Source organism: Homo sapiens, chromosome 16, assembly GCF_000001405.40.
Source record: "Homo sapiens chromosome 16, GRCh38.p14 Primary Assembly".
Lineage (NCBI taxonomy): Eukaryota > Metazoa > Chordata > Mammalia > Primates > Hominidae > Homo > Homo sapiens.
Window position 1 is genome coordinate 52,022,448 of NC_000016.10, and position 20,332 is coordinate 52,042,779.

Here is a 20,332-nt window from a genome sequence, read left to right on the forward strand (position 1 = left end):
CCACAGCCAGAAAATCAGATCTGCTTAGATGAGGGTAAAAATCACATCTGCAATGGAAATATTGTCCCCTCCACTATCCACTCAGGTGGCTCATCCAATTATGTCAGTATCTTTCCTTCCCAGGAGGTGACCTTCAGAGCATCATGGCTGCCATAGCCATGCCCACACATACAATGCAATATTTCAAGATGCTCACAGCCTCCAAATCTAGGTTTTCTGTAACACTGCAGGCTGTTTGGAAGTTTCAGAAAAGTGTCAAGAAGGCGAGTGATTTGGACTATAGAATGTACAGGTGCAACAAGGCGATGCTATCAGACAAGCCAAGAGTTAAGACATAAAATAAATCCTGCTTCAAGATAAAGTGGAAGAGTGGCTGGGCTCTCTAACTCGTGTTTCTCGGCACAAGGCCTTCATTAAATAAATCCCGATGAAGTGATGGATTGGATGAATAGAATTGCAAACTGGATACGCTGCCTACTGTTGAAGAGATAAACAGAGTTTTCATCACCTATTTTATCCTCTAAATGTTATAGTTCGCCATTTCCAACAACCTCTGACAAGCTCTCTTATTAGCCTAACAGGAAAAATCTTGATAAACAAGTAAATATGGTTAGATCCTTTTGGGCTGTTTGCCTAAAATCTGGATTCATTGATCCATGCTCACGCTTAGATGGGAGGCACTGACTGTTGTAATCTACATGTAATAGGCATTATGAGATTTAAGAAAAATAGCTCAGCTGCAGTTGAGTCAGTTTAGGACACATCATTATAAAATTCCATTATCGCCGCTACAAGTTGGACTATTTGTCATCACAGAAGAGATGACAAGCTCAGAAATACTACATTTGTTATTATCAGATGATAAATGATATTCCATTAAAGCTGCAATACATCATCAGCAAAACTGCAAAGAAGATATCAAACCTATCAGGACTTGACTTATCATTTAATTTTCAAAAGCTGTCAACTAAAATTCCAAAGGCTAAGCATTTTCATTTTTAAAGTTCATCTTATTTATTTTCCTCATCTGTTAGTCTAATTTCTGTGATATGGCAAAAGTAACTGATTATGTGCAATGTATAATTCTCTTCTTTTGATTAGGTAATATATCAGGTGTCACTTAGGTATTAAAAATTAAATGACAGATAATAAAACAAGAGAGTTCCATAAAACACATCTTATTTTGATTTACTCACGTTTTGAAATATAACAGCAAAGGACAGGTCAATATTTGTTAAAGGCACACACATGCGGCAAAAAGCATATTTACCCATTATTAAGCACTCTTTCATGCCATCTATAGGGGAGCTGAACATGCTTTTCTATCTGGTGTTTATAAAATCTTTTCCCAGATGGACAACTATTCTTTAGTTCAATTCTATAAATCATAATCACATATTTCTTCTATATGTGCAAGTGCTCATATTTTTTCTGTTATTTTCATCACTACCAACATTAAGCACTCAAATGCTGACTGGGACAGGAACAATTCTTATCATTTTTTACTGGCATGAACATAAAGACACAACATTTCAATTTATGTGTGTCTTGCTCACACCCACAGCCTTGTAGACATACTAGAAAATATTTCTGGACCACCTGAGACTAGCTATAAGAATAGAATCAGCACATTTGGGAGCTGGAGGGCAACTTTGAGATCACCTGAAAGGCTGAGAGAAGGGAAGGAACTTGCCCGAAGTCACACCGTGAGTAAATAAAAATGATTGAAAAAGCCATGATCTTGGAAGCCTATTCTAAATTATTTGCTATAACACCATGCTGATTTTCAGAGTCCTACAAAAAATGTGATGCTTATTACTCAGTTTTTGGCTAAAAGTCTGGCTTATAGTTGGTACTCCTTAAAGATTTTTTAATAAAGTGCTCATACAAATGGATGGAAGGATGGATGGATGGATAAGTAGATGGACGGGAATGGATGGATAGACGGATGGATGGGTGGGTGGATGGATGGATGAATGAATAATTGCCTACTTCTCTAATCCACCATATGAAGGTCTTGTTCATGTAAATAAAACCTCCAGAGCCTAACCCAATCCCACCTTTTAAAAATATAGAATGTAAGATATTTTCCACAGAGACTGTGCCCATGACCTCTCAGGTCTTGTAGAGCACTCCAAGGTACTCTAAAAAAGAATCTCTTTGCCCAACACTGAGCCAATCACAAGTATATGGCTTCACACCACACAGGGAAGCAAAGGAGCTGGTGCTCAGAGGCACCTTCCACTACTCAGGGATAGTGACACAACCACATGTCCAAATACGTAAAGCTGCAGTTATATCTCACTGGCCCTGTGAGGCACTGGGGATGCCACACCTCTGTGACACAACAACGTACAGGCAAAATGAGAAAAAGAAGGGAAATAGAGAGAGTTTCCCAAAAACCAAATGAATTCATCCTCCTCCTCCACTACTTTTTCTTCTTCTTCTTTCTTCTTCTTCTTCCTCTTCTTCTTCTTCTTCTTCTTCTTCTTCTTCTTCTTCTTCTTCTTCTTCTTCTTCTTCTTCTTTTCTTCTTCTTCTTCTTCTTCTTCTTCTTCTTCTTCTTCTTCTTCTTCTTCTTCTTCTTCTTCTTCTTCTCCTCCTTCTCCTTCTTCTTCTTCTTCTTCTCCTCCTCCTTCTTCCTCCTCCTCTTCTTCTTTCTTCTTGCTGTTCTTCTCCTTCTTTTCCTCCTCCTCCTGCTCCTTCTCATTCTTTTCCATGGTACAATATACATAATATAAAATTCACTATTTTAACCATTTTTTAAGAATTCAGTGACATTAATTACATTTTCAGTGCTGTGCAACCATTGTTACTATTTTCAAAACTTTTCATTATGCCAAGCAGAAATTCTGCACCCATTAAGCATTAACTCCTAATTTCCCCCTCTCCCAAGTCCCTGAGAACCTTGAATCTATTTTCTGTCTCTATGAATCTGCCTATTTTATATATTTCATATAGGTGAGATTATATATTCGCTCTTTTGTGAAAAGGACTGTCTTTTTAACTATTAAACTGATATACATTTGTTGCAAATACATGAAGTAATATATTAATTTAGAGTAAGAAATAAATGTCTCAAACTTATCTTTCCAGCCCATCCCTTATCGTCAGATGTAACCTCTGACAAGAGTGGCGTGTGCTCTTCCCTGTGTTTTTCTAGGTTTGGACACCTAAGTTGTATCATGACTTCTAGAACAGGCTCTGGAATCAGACTACCTGAATGTATGATGCTGGGAAAGTTATTTAACCTCTTTAAAACTCAATTTTTGCATTTATAAAATGGCATGGACAACAATACCACTCTCTCAGCATTGTGAGCATGAAAGGAGATAAGGGTTTTATTTTTTTTAACATTTTTTGTTGTGTTTTTTTTGTGAGACAGAGTCTTGCTCTATCATCCAGGTTGGAGTGCTGTGGTGCCATCTCGGCTCACTGCAACCTCCATCTCCCAGGTTCAAGCGATTTTCCTGCCTCAGCCTCCTGAGCAGCTGGAACTACAGGCACATGCCACTACACCGGCCAATTTTTTGTATTTTTATTTTTAGTAGAGACAAGGTTTCACCATGTTGGCCAGGCTGGTCTCAAACTCCTGACTTCAGGTGAGCCATCTGCCTCAGACTCTCAAAGTACTGGGATTACAGGCATGAGCCATCATACCCAGCCAAGATAAGGGTTTTAAAAGCACTTTGCACAGTGCCAGGTAAACACTAATAACTTATCAAATGGTAGCTGTGTATTACATGGAACTTTGGTTTTTAAAAGCAAAAATGTGATCACATTATTCACGTTGTTCTCCATCCTGCTTTTTAAACTCCTCCTTACTGGCACATGTACGCCCACCTCATACTTTCTTAACTGCTGTATAATCTTAAAGCTCTATAGTTTGTTTGCAAATACATCCTTCTGGTATTTTAATTTTATTTTATACAATTACTGGAGCTTGGCATTCTGGAACCAGCAGTGTTCCCAGGTGGGTCAACACAACTTGAGGATTCTAAAAATAATGATAAAAAGGAGAAGATGAATCATTTAATGAATTTCAACTGTGTTCCAAGTATTGTGTTGGTGACTGTATAAGTCTTGTTTCTGGCCCTCACCACACTGTTCTGCCTCCGTGGAAATGATCTCAAAGGTGAAGGGCCCCGTCTCCTGCCTGCAAGCTGGTGGATGCTTCTGGCACTTGGAGAATTCCACCATCCAACAGCCTTTCACTGGGCCATGAAACAGTCCTCAGTGGAACTCATCAGTCTTAGTTTGCTTTGTGTGCGTGTGTGCGTGTGTGTGTGTGTGTGTGTGAAGTTTTGGTCCTGGTCCAAGGAGTGGAGAGGAGAGGGTGGTGGAAAGATGGCCAGTAAACAGGAATTTGAGAAATGTGAGTGAAGAGATACTCAGTGGGGAAACGGTGGGGTCAGGACCTCCTGAAGATGTGTTTCAGAGAAAGATAGGAGATCACTTTTTTCTTTCTCTAGTTTACCTTCTAGTTTCAACGGGGAAGCTGAGAAGCAGGGTCTTTTCTTATTAAATGAGTGAGATCTTACCCAGAAGCGTAGGCGAAAGACAGGCAAGCTTTAAAGCCTGCTGCTGTATTCCCAAGCTCCTGTGCGGAAAAAATAAAGGGTCCCTGTTAAGAGGAAAGTTCAGGCTATAGTTTCCCAGTACTCTTGCCAGGAAGCTGCTCATGTTGAATGCAAAAAAGTTGGAGCAATCGCCATCCAATAGCCCACAGGGTCCCAAGGCGGCCCTGTCTAGCAAGGGAGAGAAAAAGCGCATCTACCGTACCATGAAGGCGCGGCAGCGAGGATGGAGTTCCTACCCCATTGTCCTACTGCCCCCAAAGAGCAGGTTGTTAGGCTCTTAGGTCAGCTGAGTGTGATGGTCCTTACTATAGTTAAGAATGGTTTTACCTTCTGGGACTGGGCTGTCCACACAGAAATAACTTGCTGGTCCTTATAAAAAATAGACATAGACAAAAAACAATTACCCTCTTATTTTTTAAATATTAGATATTGAATTTAGATATTATATTATTTATATGAATATCTGTTTTGAATTTTTATGTTAAAACATAGCATTATTATTTAGTATTATACTTAGTACTATTATGATCACTATATATTAATTAATAATTAATCATATCGTAATATTAGTGCTATATTATACAGCATATATTATTATATACTACTAATATTTATTATAATATAAGATATAAAAATATCGTTATATATAGTTATAGTAATTATTTATAATACCAATTTATTGTATACTAATCCTAGTATTATATAGTATAATTAATTAATACATATTAAAATACAATAACTATATATTAATTAATATATAGTAATTATAATTACTATCTTAATATCAAATACCTATTAATATCTAAATTCAAACTCCTGACATATAGTTTAGTTGCATCAGTCAGCTTTATATTTAAAGTTTCCGAGCTTCTTCTACTTCTGATGAAAGTCTGGTGAGCAAAGATACTCTTCATAGACAGGAACATTTTCCTGGAATAGCTCAGGCCCAGGAAAAAAAAATTTCCCAGAGGCCCCTTGTCAAGAGTTAGTTTTTTAATTGCCTGGGGCTCCATTTATCCTCTTATCTTCTAAAAATTCTTCCCAATTTTCCCAGCCATATTTAAGTCCCGCTAACTCCATGAAATCTTCCCACATCTTCTCCAATCCACAGATTTCTTCTTTTGATTAATTCTCACAAATGCCATATTCTAGGAAACATTGTTGGAGCATTTACCCTTTCTCTATTAATATTAGTTTTGCTGGACTGTAAGTGCAGCAAAAACAGTGACGGTTTATGATTTTCTGTCGACATCCATTACACGACCTAGAATCATCTCAAGTGTATACACAGGACTCAGTAAATATTTGTGGGTTCTAATCTCAAGTCAATAAGAACAACAAAAATCCCTACTTGTAAAAAAAAATGCCCATTTTTTCTTTTTCTTTCTTAACCCAATAATGAAATCCTTGGGAAAATATGTTTACATAGGAATCTTAATATTGCCATGTCAGTTTGAGAAAAGGATATTCTTTATTTGGTGTGTCACTGGATTTGTGACAGTTCTTATGAACCATGACTTGAAATGAGATAGGTTAGTAAACATTTGCGAGTTTTTCTATGGTCTCTAAACAGAGCCCTTTGAAAAGAGCAAACTCAGATTCTGGCAAACTTTAGATAACTTCAGACAGAGAGAGAAAATCTCTGTCCAAAGCAGTATTTACCAAATTTATTTGGAGTTATTTGTAAAAGAAAAGGTTTTGATGGACACAGAAGGCTTGAGAAATCATGATTAAACAAAGTTATTTGTGTTTCTTCATCACAAAATTTCTCAGTACTTTTAATATGCTAATAACTTCTAAGAAGGAAAGCATTTCCCAAACTTAATGAAATCCTCTTCACCTGAGCCCTCTCCATGGAGTGTCTATGGGTCTATTATTTTGCGAGTCATTTGTTTTTACCTCTGCTCACTCATCTGTCACTCACTTGGTACACAGCCCTCCATAGAGGCCTTTTGACTAAGCACAAGGGTGCCCTGATTTCCATCAAGACACGAGTAATGCTAATTCCCATCCACTCCAACCCCATCCCCTATCTTTGTAGAATCCTCTTTTGTAATAATGACAGTGTGTTTAGGAGACCTTTGTTTAGCTAGAGAATTTTTTTTACTAAGCTTATTTTGCAAATTAATATTTTTCTTTCTTCTTTTTTTTTTTAAACAGACGTGGTCTTACTCTGTCACCCAGGCTGCAGTGCAGTAGCATGATCATAGCTCACTGCAGCTTCAAACACCTGGGCTTAAGCGATCCTCCCACCTCAGCGTCCCAAGTAGCTGGGACTACAGGCATGTGCCACCGTGGGTGGCTCTGTAGATTGATTTTTTGATGGCATAGCAAATCCTATTTCTCAATTGTCATGATGGTATTTATGTGTAGTAAATATGTCAATATGAAGTTATTATACAATAATCCATCCAGTTGGCATATAAGACATGTGTTTAGGCCTGCCAAAAATGTAACTGCTGCTCTCAGAACCAGCTGCCCAAGTACAGAATGGGGAAAAGGGGTGATTAGGAGTTGACAGCAAAACAGTAAAAGCCTACAGTTCTCCACTGAGTTTAAGGTAAATTTGTGCCACTATGATATTACTAAAAACAAATACAAATGATGACTGGAGGCTAAATTAACATGTTTATATGTAGAAATTAAAGTACTTTTGCAGATCACTCAGGTACCAAGCAAGAGGAGGGACTGCCCACTCTATGCTGGTCAGACCACTGATGCAGAGTTCTGTAATCAGTTATGAGTCCTATATTCTAAGAAGCCAAGTGACAATTGTCAAAGTATAAAGAGGAAAATGAGGGCAATCAAAAGGCAGTTGCACAAGGAACATTAGATCTGGTACAATGTGGACATTTGTAAGGCTGTCAAGGGAGCTGCCTTCGGATCTCAGTGCTAAGTACAAAGTCAGAGGGTGGATGTTACAGACAGACAGCTTCTGACTGCACACAGGAAGATATTGTCAGAGGCATAAAAAAAAAGAAGGTATGGCCTCTCACATTCATAAACATCTCATCATGAAGGATATTTAAACAACTCCTTGGCCTCTACATTTGAAAGTAGATTTAATCATAAGGTAAAGATGGAACCAAGGCCACTAGCAATGTATTTAATGTAAAACTCTTTGCAGCTCCTCTAGCAAAGGCAGATGTGCCAAAAATGTTCGCCCAGGCCCTGTTCTGGCAGGGTGGGAAATGTGTACTTGGTTCCCCCACTACCTGTGTGCCTTGGATCAAAGGAACTTGCTCCAAGGTTCTGTCCCAGCTCTGAGGTCTTTTAACAAATATATGATAGACTCCTACCAGCTTGTCATGAGGTCACCTAGTCATGACCTCGAGGAAGTCCCATCTTGTCTCTGAGCCCTGATTTACAACTCTGTGAACCGAAGACGTTGAATTAGATGAGCCTAAGATTCCCTCCTGTTCTGACATTTTGTGATTTTATAGACATGCATGAAGCAGAGCAGGAGAAAACCTTAGAAACCCACTTACTTTAGCTAAAACAATTTAGCTTTAAGAATCCTCCACTGAAAAATATACCATTTTCATCCATTCTCAGTTCAAAGCATCAGAGTACAGATCAGGGTTTTTTTTGTAGTAAACAGGGATTCAAGGAAATAAAACATATTCGGGAAGTTTTATTTTATTTTATTTTTATTTTTTTGGTTTGTTTTTTGAGACAGGGTCTCACTCTCTTGCCCAGGCTGGAGTGCAGTGGTGCCATCACAGCTTACTGCAGCCTCAACTTTCTGGGCTGAAGTGATCCTCCCACCTCAGCCTCCAAAGTAACTGTGACTACAGGCTTGGCCCTCCATGCCTGGCTAATTTTTGTAATTTTTTTTCTTTTTGGAGATGGGGTTTCGTCATATTGCCCAGGCTGGTGGTTGAGCTCCAGAGCGCAAGTGTTCTGCCCACCTCAGCCTCCAAAAGTGCTGGGATTACAGGCATGAGCCACCACACTCTGCCTCAGGGAACTTTTACAAAGCAAGATGGGAAAGATGGGTCAGGGGCCTGGAGAGCAGGATATGAGCTCTTTGAGGAACAAAGGATTTGGGAATGGGAGTGGGGCTTGGAGGGAGAACATTTCCCAGTCAGTCCCAGCAAGGGTCGGAGTCCACCAAACATAACCCGAAGGAAGTGAATAGAAGAAGCGGCATTCCAAAGCCATTTCTGGGCTGCCTCTTAACCATAGCAGGAAGCCTTCTCTGATAACCATTCCTCCTCTGGCTGAGTACCATTGTGTGATGTCTCTGTTGCTGACACTGTTTCAATTTCCCTAGCTGGACTAGACTGTCACTTGTGACCAGTTTCTACTCTCTACAACTCTTGGATGTGATGGGGAAGGCAAACCTGGAGTTTGGAGTTCCAAAAGATACATGGTGAGCTGGATTTTCTCTACCATCCACCTCAACAAACTAACCCTAGACTTCACACCCACCCCCTGTAGCTGAGCTGAATGGGTCCTGCCCATTCTCAGGGACTTACCCAGGAGCTAACATGTGCATAGATCCCACCTGTAGATCCTGATGGGTCTACCCGGGCTTGAGCTCAGGGCTAGCTGGAAATGGGAGCCAGTACCCTTCCATGAGCAGCACTCTACCAATTTAGGAAAAGAGCTGCTGGAAGATGGACCAAGGTTTGCTGGCCCCTTAGGTCCCCTTGCAGTGGTTTCTTAAAGGGTTCCAAGTGGGTTTGGGCCTACCTATCCACAGCAATACCTCATGTGTGACACTCTTCATTGGCCCTTTTCCTTTCCTATCATGTGAGACTCCCTAACAGTGTTCCTTGGAATCAGCTTCCAAATAAATTACCTGTTCGCAAGTCCCCATCAAGGGGGCTACTTTTAGAAGGACCACAGCCTAGATGCCCATTAAACTCCACAAAGGCCATTTTGGATCCTGCTGGATGCAGCTATATTGCTAAGTCCCGTTTCATGGAACTTACAAGGGAAAACAATGGCAGGGCCCCAGTGGAAGTTGCTGTGAAAACTATAGCCCTGGGCACCATGTTCATCCCCCCACCCCCATCCCATGCATTCATCTCTGTCTTCTTTTTCAAATTTGATTTTAAATATTTACAGCATCATACATCTTCCCCCACCAGATATTACTAATGAACTGTTATTGTCTGCAAAATCTCCCAGATGAGTGATGGCCAACTTAAAAAGAGCATCAATGTTTTATTCGTAAAATAGAAGCTGGAAACAGAGAATGCTTATGCGCTTTTAGGCCTTTGATCATTATTAATATTGATACTTCAGTACAAAGAAGGCACTTGGGCAATTAGCAAAATCAAACAGAACTGAAGATTCTATATAGCAGCAATAAAAATTATATAAATATGTAAATGCTTACAAACGTTTAAATCAATAAGTAGGGCACATTTCAAGAAAATGTAAATGTTCAACCTGTACATTTCAAGAAAAATGTGGAATGCGAAATGCCTTTTCTGAGGGTGAATATCTCAATGGCAAAGAAGAAACTCCAGATACTGCACTATCCTGCCAGAGAGAGGGCTGTGCCACTGTGAAATTGTATTTCTGGATTGCAATGAAATTTCAGAGACCCTCATGGCCATTAACATCAGCCTTCTGGAGTTGACTTGCATTCTGTCCCCATCTGCCCTGCCTTTCTTCTCTTACTGCTTGTTCACAATGTGAACCCCAGATGGAGGTTCCTCTTCTGATTCTGACAGGCAGCCTGGTTTAGCAGACAGCAGAGGGTGCCTCTTGGTGACTGGATTCTGGGAGCCACAGAAATTAGAGTGAAAATCTTAGCTGGCCTTTCCAGCTGTGTGACTTGGAGCACACTAGTTAGTCTCTCTGAATCTCAGTTTCTTTATCTTTTAGGTGGAGATAAGAATACCAACCTAATGCAGACCACATGCTTAGTGTGGTGACTGGTGCCTCATAAGTGCTCAGTATGAGTGGCTATTCCCTGCCCAGCATACAGTAAATGAGCACAATTTCTACAGATTCTGCAGGCTCTGCTTATGGCAGGACCTGCATTTTTAAATGGTTTGTCTTTGCCCAGTGAATCTGTGATCCCAGGTATCCAAGCCTAGATGAGATCACAGCATTCAAGTAAGCTAGAAAATTCTCATCACCACAGATTTAAGGCTTTTACTGGGAATAGTTTCCTTCTAGGTCGATAGGCAGTGGCTGAGAGCCCATGCCCACCACTCAGCCTCCTTGAAGTGGCAGCCAGCACAACTTCTCCAGATGCCATTTTGCTAAGTAGGAATTCAGGAGGATGAAGACCGTACTGGGAAAATGAAGCAATGGAGAAATACTAGAGGGTGGGAGTCAAACCCTTGGGTTCCCCTCCCAGACCCACCACTCATGGCTGTGTGACCTTAGGATAAAATAAGATAGCCAGGGTCTCTAAAGAGTGAACCTGGCGTCTAAAAGTCCTGGTCTAGAAACTCAGCTTTACTACATCCTTATCTGTGTGTCTTAGGGAAAAAGGCCTATCCTTTCTTGGCCTCAGTTTCCTCATCTGTAAAAGTTCAAAATGCCTGGTATATGGAGAGTGCCCCGGGCAGCAGCAGACTCATAGAAGTGTTCATAGCCATTATTGCTCGAGCCTTGTTTCCTCATCTGTATAATAGGATGGTCATCTCTTGCCCTGCCTACCTCAGAGGCCTCCAGAGAAACTCTTCATAGGCTAGCTCTTCATAGGATGAAATCATCTACAGCCTCAAATGATGATTGATGTTCTTACTGTTTCTGCAGCAGATTCTGGATTACCACTTGAAAGATCATGCTTCAAATTAGCACTCACCAATTACAATAATGAAAGAACACACATATATGATTTCATTTAACTGTGTCCTAGTTGAGGTCATTGACCAAGTTATGGAAACCGATCATCTTCTGCCCTCATGACAAGTTCATATCTCTCTATTCTTCCATTTTGCTGCAATTTTCTGAAACAAGAGGCCCAGTCCTCTCCAGAGGGAAGAATCTTCAGCTAGACCTTGGGAACAGTAAGCAGAAATACAGGCATCCTGGGAAATGGTCAGCTTTCTGCTGGGATGGGGTAGGAAAGGAAGGTGGTGATATTCCCAGTGCTACTGTGCCCTTCCTTCCGGGTTAGGCTGATTATAAAGCAGCTAGATTCAGTCACCAAGCTTAACAGTGTGGGTGACAGAATAATTTAATGTCTTCTCCAGGAGGGCTAAGTAAGCCCCAGCATAGACTTTTCACAATCACTGTGCAGACAGAGCCTGAATGCCCCTGGCTGTTGAGCATGTCATGGGACACAAGAGGTTGGCTATTTGCTAGATGCTCTCAGCAACTAAGAAATTTCCACCCTTCTCTGATTTTTTCTAGGTCTACCTTGAGACTGAGTCACTTGCCTCTGTGTCCCCTAAAACAGAGCACAGTATGTGGCACATATGCATAAAACAAGTGTTTGTTGGTTGAAGAAATAAATTCATGTACTGGTGGGGGATGAGTATGGCAGAAAGGATGAATGGATTGATGACTCCTAGGCAGAAAGCAACAAAAATAGAAAAAGAATATACTGAAATGTCTTGGAATGTAGTCTAGAGGCAGTGCTCCTGGATTGCAGATCATGTACTAAGCTAACTGCAAGGAACCCTGCAGTATTTGGCTACACAAGAGGACCAATTCTATAGAAGCTCCAGCAACTGGATATAAATGCTGCCATGCCCCCTCTGGTCCATCTATGTGCCAAAAATCTGAGGCAGAATGAGATGTTGGGAGTAGGATGAGGGGCACAGGATGCATTGCTGACTATCACTTTCCAGCCCCAAGCACCAGGCTCCTTCTCTTCTGCCCTCCTGTCCTTACTGCTGCACAAGTGACTCACCTGTATTGGACCTCCAGGGCAAGGCAGAAGTCATAGAAGCCCACTCTGTCACAAAGATAGAAAATTGAAATAATAAATGGGGGCTTTGAAGGGAGAACATAAAGAGGATGAGTAGAATTGTAGCCTCCACATGACTTCCCTGTTCCAGCTGTACCTCCAAGGAGCCCCAGGACCCACTTCCTCTTTCCACTATTCTCACCAGGCTTTGGCTCAGTCAATTCCCATTTGCAGCAAAGGATGCTTGAGTACCACAAGGCACAATGTTCCCCTTTTAATCTGTGTAATTCTCAGGGTTCAAAGCAATCTTTAATAAGCTAGCTATTGGTGCTCTTTTCTCCTTGGAGAGAAAATAAGTAAATCTCATAAAGATATTTGCCTTCTAAACACCTGATCTACTCGTTTCTCTGGAAGTATTTAGCCAAAACCTATTATATGTCTTCTCCTTTCTCAGCGAGCTGGATAAATGGACTTTGCTAAGGACCTGGATGCCAGGAGAGAGAATTATGGAGGTGATGATTAGCATGCTTCCTCATCCATGAGGCACTCTGTGCCTCCAAGTGATGGGTACCAGACATCTAGATCTCCACAGTGGGTTAGGAAATCAAAGGTTCTCAACCATCACCACCACATACCCCAGTGAACCAGCTACCCTGGTAACTAGATACAAATTCTGTCACAGTCCCTTTGGGGTTTAATTTTCACAGGTCTCTGGTTACAAATCATCGAAATTTGAACCAGTGGCAGTGCACATACAGTTAATTGAGTCATTTTTTCCCAGGATGTCAGCTTTTGTTGCTATTTCTATTCTGAAACACTGACTCACACTGTTAATTTAAACTGTGTGTGTAACCGTGGAGATTTCATTACCTTTGGCATTCTTTTTTTTTTCTGTCCTAGAAAATCTAATTTCAGAAAAGAGAGTAGGTAAAAGTCACTTCCATACCCTGCACTCAAATCTTTCATATACACAAAAGTTTCCATTGGTCTACTGGAAGAAATCCCCACTGGTGCCATTTTCTACTTTGTTGCCTAATGAAATAAGAAAGGTGTGGCTCTGAGAGATGCCAGCCGATGTGCCATTCCTGCCAAACGAGATAGAAGAGCCAACTCTGCAGCAACCTTAACTCTGAGCTGTGGCTTACCAGTCCATAAGAGAAGAAAGTTGAACCAGGTGATCTCTAAGGAAATTTCCTGCTTGGACATTCCAGAAAAATCACCCCATGGTAGCCTTTTCCTGAATGTGCATCACAGAATACTGGTTTAGTCCTTCACTGGGCCATTCAAAAGGTATTTACTGAACACCTCTTTTGGCACCATGGGGTGTCTAGACGCTTGTAAACTGCAATGGTCAAGAGCATGATTCTGGTGTCAGAGGTTTATGTCTGAGCCCTGGCTTCACATCACTTACTAGCTGCATGAACCTGGACAAGTTCTGTGCCTCAATTTTCTTATCTACAAAATACAGTAATCATCATATCTGCCTCATAGGGTTATTGTAAATATGAATGAGTTAGTTCATTTATTATAAATATGAAAGAGTCATGTGTCAAACTGCTTAGAACTATGCCTGGTCTGTAATAGGTGTTGCTTTTTGTTGTTGTTATAACACTGGTGAGCAAAAGCCAATGCAGTCACTCTCTTCATAGAGTTTACAGTCTTATATGGGAGACAGATATTTATCACACATTCATTCAAACAAAGATAAAATTGCAATTATGGCAAGTTTTATACATGTATATTTTGCTATAAGAGCTTATAATATGGATATTTTGACCCAGGGAGGGAAGGTTTCCCTAAGCTTGAGCTTAGATGCAGAGAATAATACAGGAGTTACTTCAAGGAATGGAGGGTGTATTTTAAATATGGGCAATATTGAAAAAAATAAAAGAATAAAAGGAAAGGCATTTCAGGCAGAGGAATCAGCTTGTTTAAAGGCCTGTGGAAGAAGGAAGCAGGTGCAATGTCCTGATGTGGATTCTCTGTCCTCCTGGGTACCTAGGTACCTGCTGGTATTGCATGTCCCTGACTCTGTGAATGTGGATGTGGACATGTGACTTTTTCTGCCCAATGCAATGGGAACATAAATGTGTGTGTATGCACACCATGCCTGCATGGAAGCCTCAAGAGCTAGCGTGCAATTGGCTATGCTTTCTTCTAGTGCACACACACTCCTGCAGGGTGCCACTTCTAATACATACTGGATACGTACTGTGAGCAATAAATGAGCCTTTGTGCTTTTAAGATGCTGTGATTTGGGGGTTGCTTGTTGCTGCAGCTTAACCTATCATACCCTGATTCATAGAGAAGGTAAATAAAACTGGCAATAAGAGAGTAAAGAGGATGAAGGGGTAAGGTAAGATAGGGCAGTGTTTAGGGTCAATAGTCAAGAGCTTTGTTTGTCAAGTTAAGGAGAGGTGATGCCATCCTAAGAGCAAAGGCAAGTTACTGAAGGATCTGAAATGTGGAGAAATGATGGGAAAAAGGGCAAAGAGTAAGGAAGCAGGAATAAATAGACCTGGGGAGTCAACTGCATGGCGCAGGCAAGAGACCATGATAGTTTTGCTATAGCGGTGGTAGCAGACAGGAAGTAGTGGATATCTTTGAGATCTATTTGGGAGGTTGGAATTGATGGGACTTTGGTGATGGACTGACTACAAGCAGTGAAACAGGAGGAGGCTTCCATATTGCTGGCTTGTCCAACTGGACAAATGATGGGGCCACTTACTGAAATGGCTCATAATAAAAGAGGAGCCAAAAGCAGGGTTTCAATTAGAAAACTTTCTTGTGTCCAAGAACAGTTTCTAGCAGAAGGCTTATGCCAACATTAATTCATCAGCAAGAAAAGAGTTAACTTTAACTGACAGTGCAGGTATTTCTAAAAACAATTCCAAGTACTCTATCATGCAAGCAAAGAATGTGCTTCAGAAAAAAAATTTCTCCCCCAACAACCCAAAGGAAAACATCCAGAAAAAATATTATTCCTGTCATTTTTGTAGAGGGGGGGATTCTTCCTCATGATATATTATGATAAATATATCATGCCTATTAAGAGTCCAAAAAGGGAAGTAAAATTTGTTTGTTCTATTTGACTTTATTGAAAGTAGTAGAATCAACACGAAACTTTCAGTCAGAGGAGCCTGTGTTTGAACCCAAGATTTTCCACTTATTAGCTGGGTGAACTTGGGTCAATTATGACATTTCTATACATCCCAATTCACTCATCTGTACTACTAATACAGAGAATTAATGTCCATATCTCAGCTGATTTTATCAGATAGGATAGTATATATGACTTGCTGAGTACCTATATCCTTAGGATACAGAGGCACTCATTAAATGTTAACCTCTTACTGGAGGGATTATCTGATAGAGTTATTAACAGGGGGTTTGTAATAGAGGTGTGAGACCTGGATAAGACCATTCACTTCTCTTTCCCTGTGAAGATCTTGTTCAAAGAATTCTAAATAGAAGATACAGTAGCTAATTGGGATTATGACTTCTGCTTCAATTCCTTCATATAGAGGTTAAAACTGGGTTGAACCACATTGCTTAAGCCAAAAAACTAAAGTAGGGCTCTGGCTTTCTGCTTTTGCTTTGAATCTGAGGTGGCTAGTAGTCACAGACAGCAGAGAGGAATAGGAAGAGAGAGAGGGTGGCCAGTCCTGATTGGGAGGCTGGCTCTTTCCAGACGTTCCTGCTTTGTGCAGACAGAGCATGCAAGAGGAAAGTTGTATTTCCCTTTGATCCCTTACCTAAGTGAGTCTGTTACCAGTAACACACAGGCCAGTAACATTAATAAGATCTACTGGTTAATCTAAGAGCTACTATGATTTTGAAATGCCATTGAGCATAAATAATTTTTCTCAAATCCCTGAGGTAACTGTAATATAAAATGAAAATATCAGGGATTTCTACTGGTGAATACAATCACATGTACCATTAGTACCATTGCAGTTTGTTATGTACATTCACAATAGAAGATTACAATTCTAATAGGTAGAAGTTAGCAGAGGTATTTTTTTCCTCATCCAAGTTTATTCCTGTACCCTACTGGGATTCTACCCAGGTACCTACCTGCTTCCCCACCCCACCACAGTGTTCAGTGCCTGCAGAAGCCTGTTTTTTTTTTCTTTTTTTTTTTTTTGAGACGGAGTCTCACTCTGTCACCCAGGCTGGAGTGCAGTGGTACCCTCTCGGCTCACTGCAGCCTCTGCCTCCCAGGTTCAAGGGATTCTCCTGACTCAGCCTCCCGAGTAGCTGGGATTACAGGCACCCACCACTATACCCAGCTAATTTTTTGTATTTTTAGTTGAGATGGGGTTTCACCATGTTGGCCAGGCTGGTCTTGAACTCCTGACCTCGTGATTCACCCGCCTCAGCCTCCCAAAGTGCTGGTATTACAGGTGTGAGCCACTGCGCCCAGCCCATTTTTTTAATGTAATAGTTTTATTCAGGTGTAATTAACATACCACACAATTCATCCATTTAAAGTATATAACTCAGAGGTTTTAGTGCCTTTCAGAGAGGTGTGCAACTGTCACCACGATTTTAGAACAGCTTTATCATCCCCAGATGAAACCCCATACCTGTAGCAGTCACTTCCTCCCCACTTTCACCCAGACCTAGGCAACAACTAATCTACTCTACAATTTTGCTATTCTGGACATTTTATATAAATAAAATCATACAGGCTGGGCACGGTGGCTCACACCTGTAATCCCAGCACTTTGGGAGGCTGAGGTGGGCAAATCGCTGGAGGTCATGAGTTCGAGACCAGCCTGGCCAACATGGTGAAACCCTGTCTCTACTAAAATACAAAAATTAGCCAGGCATGGTGGCAGGCACCTGTAATCCCAGCTACTCAGGAGGCTGAGGCAGGAGAATCACTTGAACCTGCGAGGTGGAGCTAAGATGGCGCCATTGCACTCCAGCCTGGGTGACAGTGAGACACCATCTCAAAAAAAAAAAAATTGTATAATATGTGGTCTTCTATAACTGGCTTTTTACACATAGCGTGTTTTCAGGCTTCACTCATGTTGTGGCATATATGAGTACTTCATTTCTCTTTTTTTGCTGAATAATATTCTGTTATATAAATACAACAATGTGGTTTATTCATTCATCAGTTGCTAGACATCTGAGATGTTTCTGGTTTTGGCTATTATGAATAATGCTGTTATAAATATTGGTGTACAAGTTTTTGTGTGGACATAATTTTCTCTTGGGTCTGTATCTAAGAGTGGGATTTCTGGATCATGTGGTAACTCCATGTTTAACTTTTGAATAGTCATTCAAATATTTAAAGTGACTGTACCATTAATTATTCAAATATTCAAATAAAGTGACTGTACCATTTTACATTTCCACCAGCAGTATATGAGAGCTTCAATTCTCCACAACTAATCTAAGACTTGTTTTACCTATCTTTTTATTATAGCCGTCTTAGTGGGTGTGAAGTGGTATCTTATTATGGTTTTGAAGAGCATTTCTCTGATAGCTAATGGTCCTGCACATCTTTTTATGCACTTATTGGCCATTCGTTTGTCTTCTTTGGAGAAGTATACATTCAAGTTCTTTGCCCACTCTTAAATTGGACTGTCTTTTTATTATGGACTTGTGTATGTTCTTTATATATTCTAACATAATTTTTTTATCAGATATTTGATTTTCAACTATTCTCCCATTCTGTGGATGTCTTTTCATTTTTGATAGTGTGCTTCGAAGAGCAGGATTTAATTTTGATGAGGTCTAATGTATCTATTTTCTCTTTTGTTCCTTGTGCTTTTAATACCATAGCTAAGAAAGCTTTGCCTAATCACAGATCATGAAGATTTACTGCTATATTTTCTTCTAGTAGTTTCATAATTTTCACTCTTATGTTTAGATATTGAGTTACTTTGGGTATATAGTATGAGTAAGGGTCAAACTTTATTCTTTTATCTGTGAATATCCAGTTTTCCCAGCACCTTTCCCTGAAAATACTGTTTTTCCCCATTAAGTTATCTTGGTACCCTGATAAAAAATCAATTGACTATAAATGTAAAGGTTTACTTCTTTATTTAAGACTTTGTTTTTTTCTAGCTTTATTGAAGTTTGATTGACAAATAAAATTGTATGTATTTAAGGTATACAATACAATATTTTGATATATGTATACATTATGTAATGAATACAAAAATCAAGCTAATTAGGATACCCACCATCCCACAATCTCACATATTTTTATAGTAATCTCATTATTTTTATAGTAAGAACACTTAAGATCTACTCTCTTATCAAATGTCCAGTGTACAATAGGTATATATTAATTATAGTCATCATGGTGTGCATTAGGTATCTAGAACTTTTTCATCTTGTAACTGAAAATTTGTACCCTTTGAACAGCATTTCCTCATTTCTCCCACTCCTTTGCCCTTGATAACTACCATTCTACTCTCTTCCTACGGGCTCATTTAAAAAAAATTCAACATATAAGTGAGATGATGCAGTGTCTTTCTGTGTCTGGCTTATTTCATTTACCATAACGTCCTCCAGCTTCATCATGTTGCAAATGGCAAGGTTTCCTTCGTTTTCAAGACTGAGTAATATACCACATTTTCTTTATCTGTTTTTCCAATGAGAGATACCTAGGTTGCTTCCATATTGTAGTTATTGTGAATAAAACTGTAATGAACAGGGAAGTGCAAATGCCTCTTTGACATACTGATTTCCGTTCCTTTGGGTATATACCCAGACACAAATAAATTATTGCTGGATCATACGGTATTCTATTTTTAGTTTTCTGAGAATCCTCCATCCTGTTTTCCATGATGGCTGTACTAATTTACATTTCCACCAACAGTACGTAAGGGCTCCTTTTTCTTTTCATAGTAACCAACACATTACCTTTTGACTTTCTGATAATAGTCATCCTAACAGATATGAGATGATATCTCAGTGGGATTTTACTTTGCATTTCCCTGATGATTAGTGATGTTGAGCACCTTTTCATATACCTACTAGTCATTTGTATGTCCGCTTAGGAAAAATGTCTCTCCATGTTCTTTCTCATTTTTAAATTGAGTTATCTGGAATTTTGCTGTTGAATTGCTTGAATCTCTTATATATTTTGGATATTAACTCTTATTGGATATACAGTTTGTAATCCATTTTCATCCATTACATAGGTTACCTTTTCATTTTGTTTATTGTTTTCTTGGCTGTGCAGAAACTTTTTAATTTCATGTAGTCCCTCTTGTTTTTGTTTCCTGTGATTTTTGTGTCATATCCAAAAAATATCATTGCCAAGACCAATATCAAGGAGATTTCCCCCGTGTTTTCTTCTAAGTGTCTTACATTTAAGTCTTTAATTTATTTTGAGTTGAATTTTGTTTATGATGTCAGATAATGGTCCAATTTCATTCTTCTGCATGTGGATGTCTAGTTTTCCCAACAACATTCATTGAACAGACTATCCCTTTCCCACTGTGTGTTCTTGGTGCTTTCTCAAAGATTAATTGACTATATATGCCTGGGTTTATTTTTAGGTTCTCTATTTTGTTCTATTGATCTATGTGTCCATTTTTATGCCAGTATCATACTGTTTTGATTACCATAGGTTTGTAATATAATTTGAAATCATTATGTGTGATGACTCCAGCTTTGTTCTTTATGCACAAGATTGCTTTAGCTATTCAGGGTCTTTGTGGTTCGATACAAATTTTAGAATCTTTTTGTATTTTTTCTATTTCTGTAAACAGGGATTGCATTGAATCCATAGACCACTTCAGGTAGCATGGGCATTTTGACAATATCAATTCTTCAAATCCATGAACACAGAATATCTTTCCATTTATTTGTGTCTTTTTCAACTTCCTGCATCAATGTTTTATAGTTTCCAGTGCATAGATTTTTCACTTGTTAAATTTATTATTTTATTCTT

General features: G+C 39.6%; 1 long non-coding RNA gene across 9 annotated transcripts in view; it reads right to left on the reverse strand.

Moving 5' to 3' along the window:
- The window catches only part of LINC02911 (long intergenic non-protein coding RNA 2911), a 73,031-nt gene that overhangs the window by 16,961 nt on the left and 35,738 nt on the right, over positions 1–20,332 (reverse strand). For 2 of the 9 annotated variants that reach the window (XR_004837540.2, XR_004837539.2), the window contains 4 exons: positions 12,412–12,456; positions 4,908–4,949; positions 4,542–4,600; positions 3,858–3,997 (listed from right to left, as the gene is read on the reverse strand). This is a non-coding gene — a long non-coding RNA (long intergenic non-protein coding RNA 2911). Of the gene's footprint in view, positions 1–3,857; positions 3,998–4,541; positions 4,601–4,907; positions 4,950–11,425; positions 11,554–12,411; positions 12,457–20,332 lie in introns of those variants that run through there. The other 7 variants (XR_007065211.1, XR_007065210.1, XR_007065208.1 and 4 more) reach the window with 4 other exon arrangements.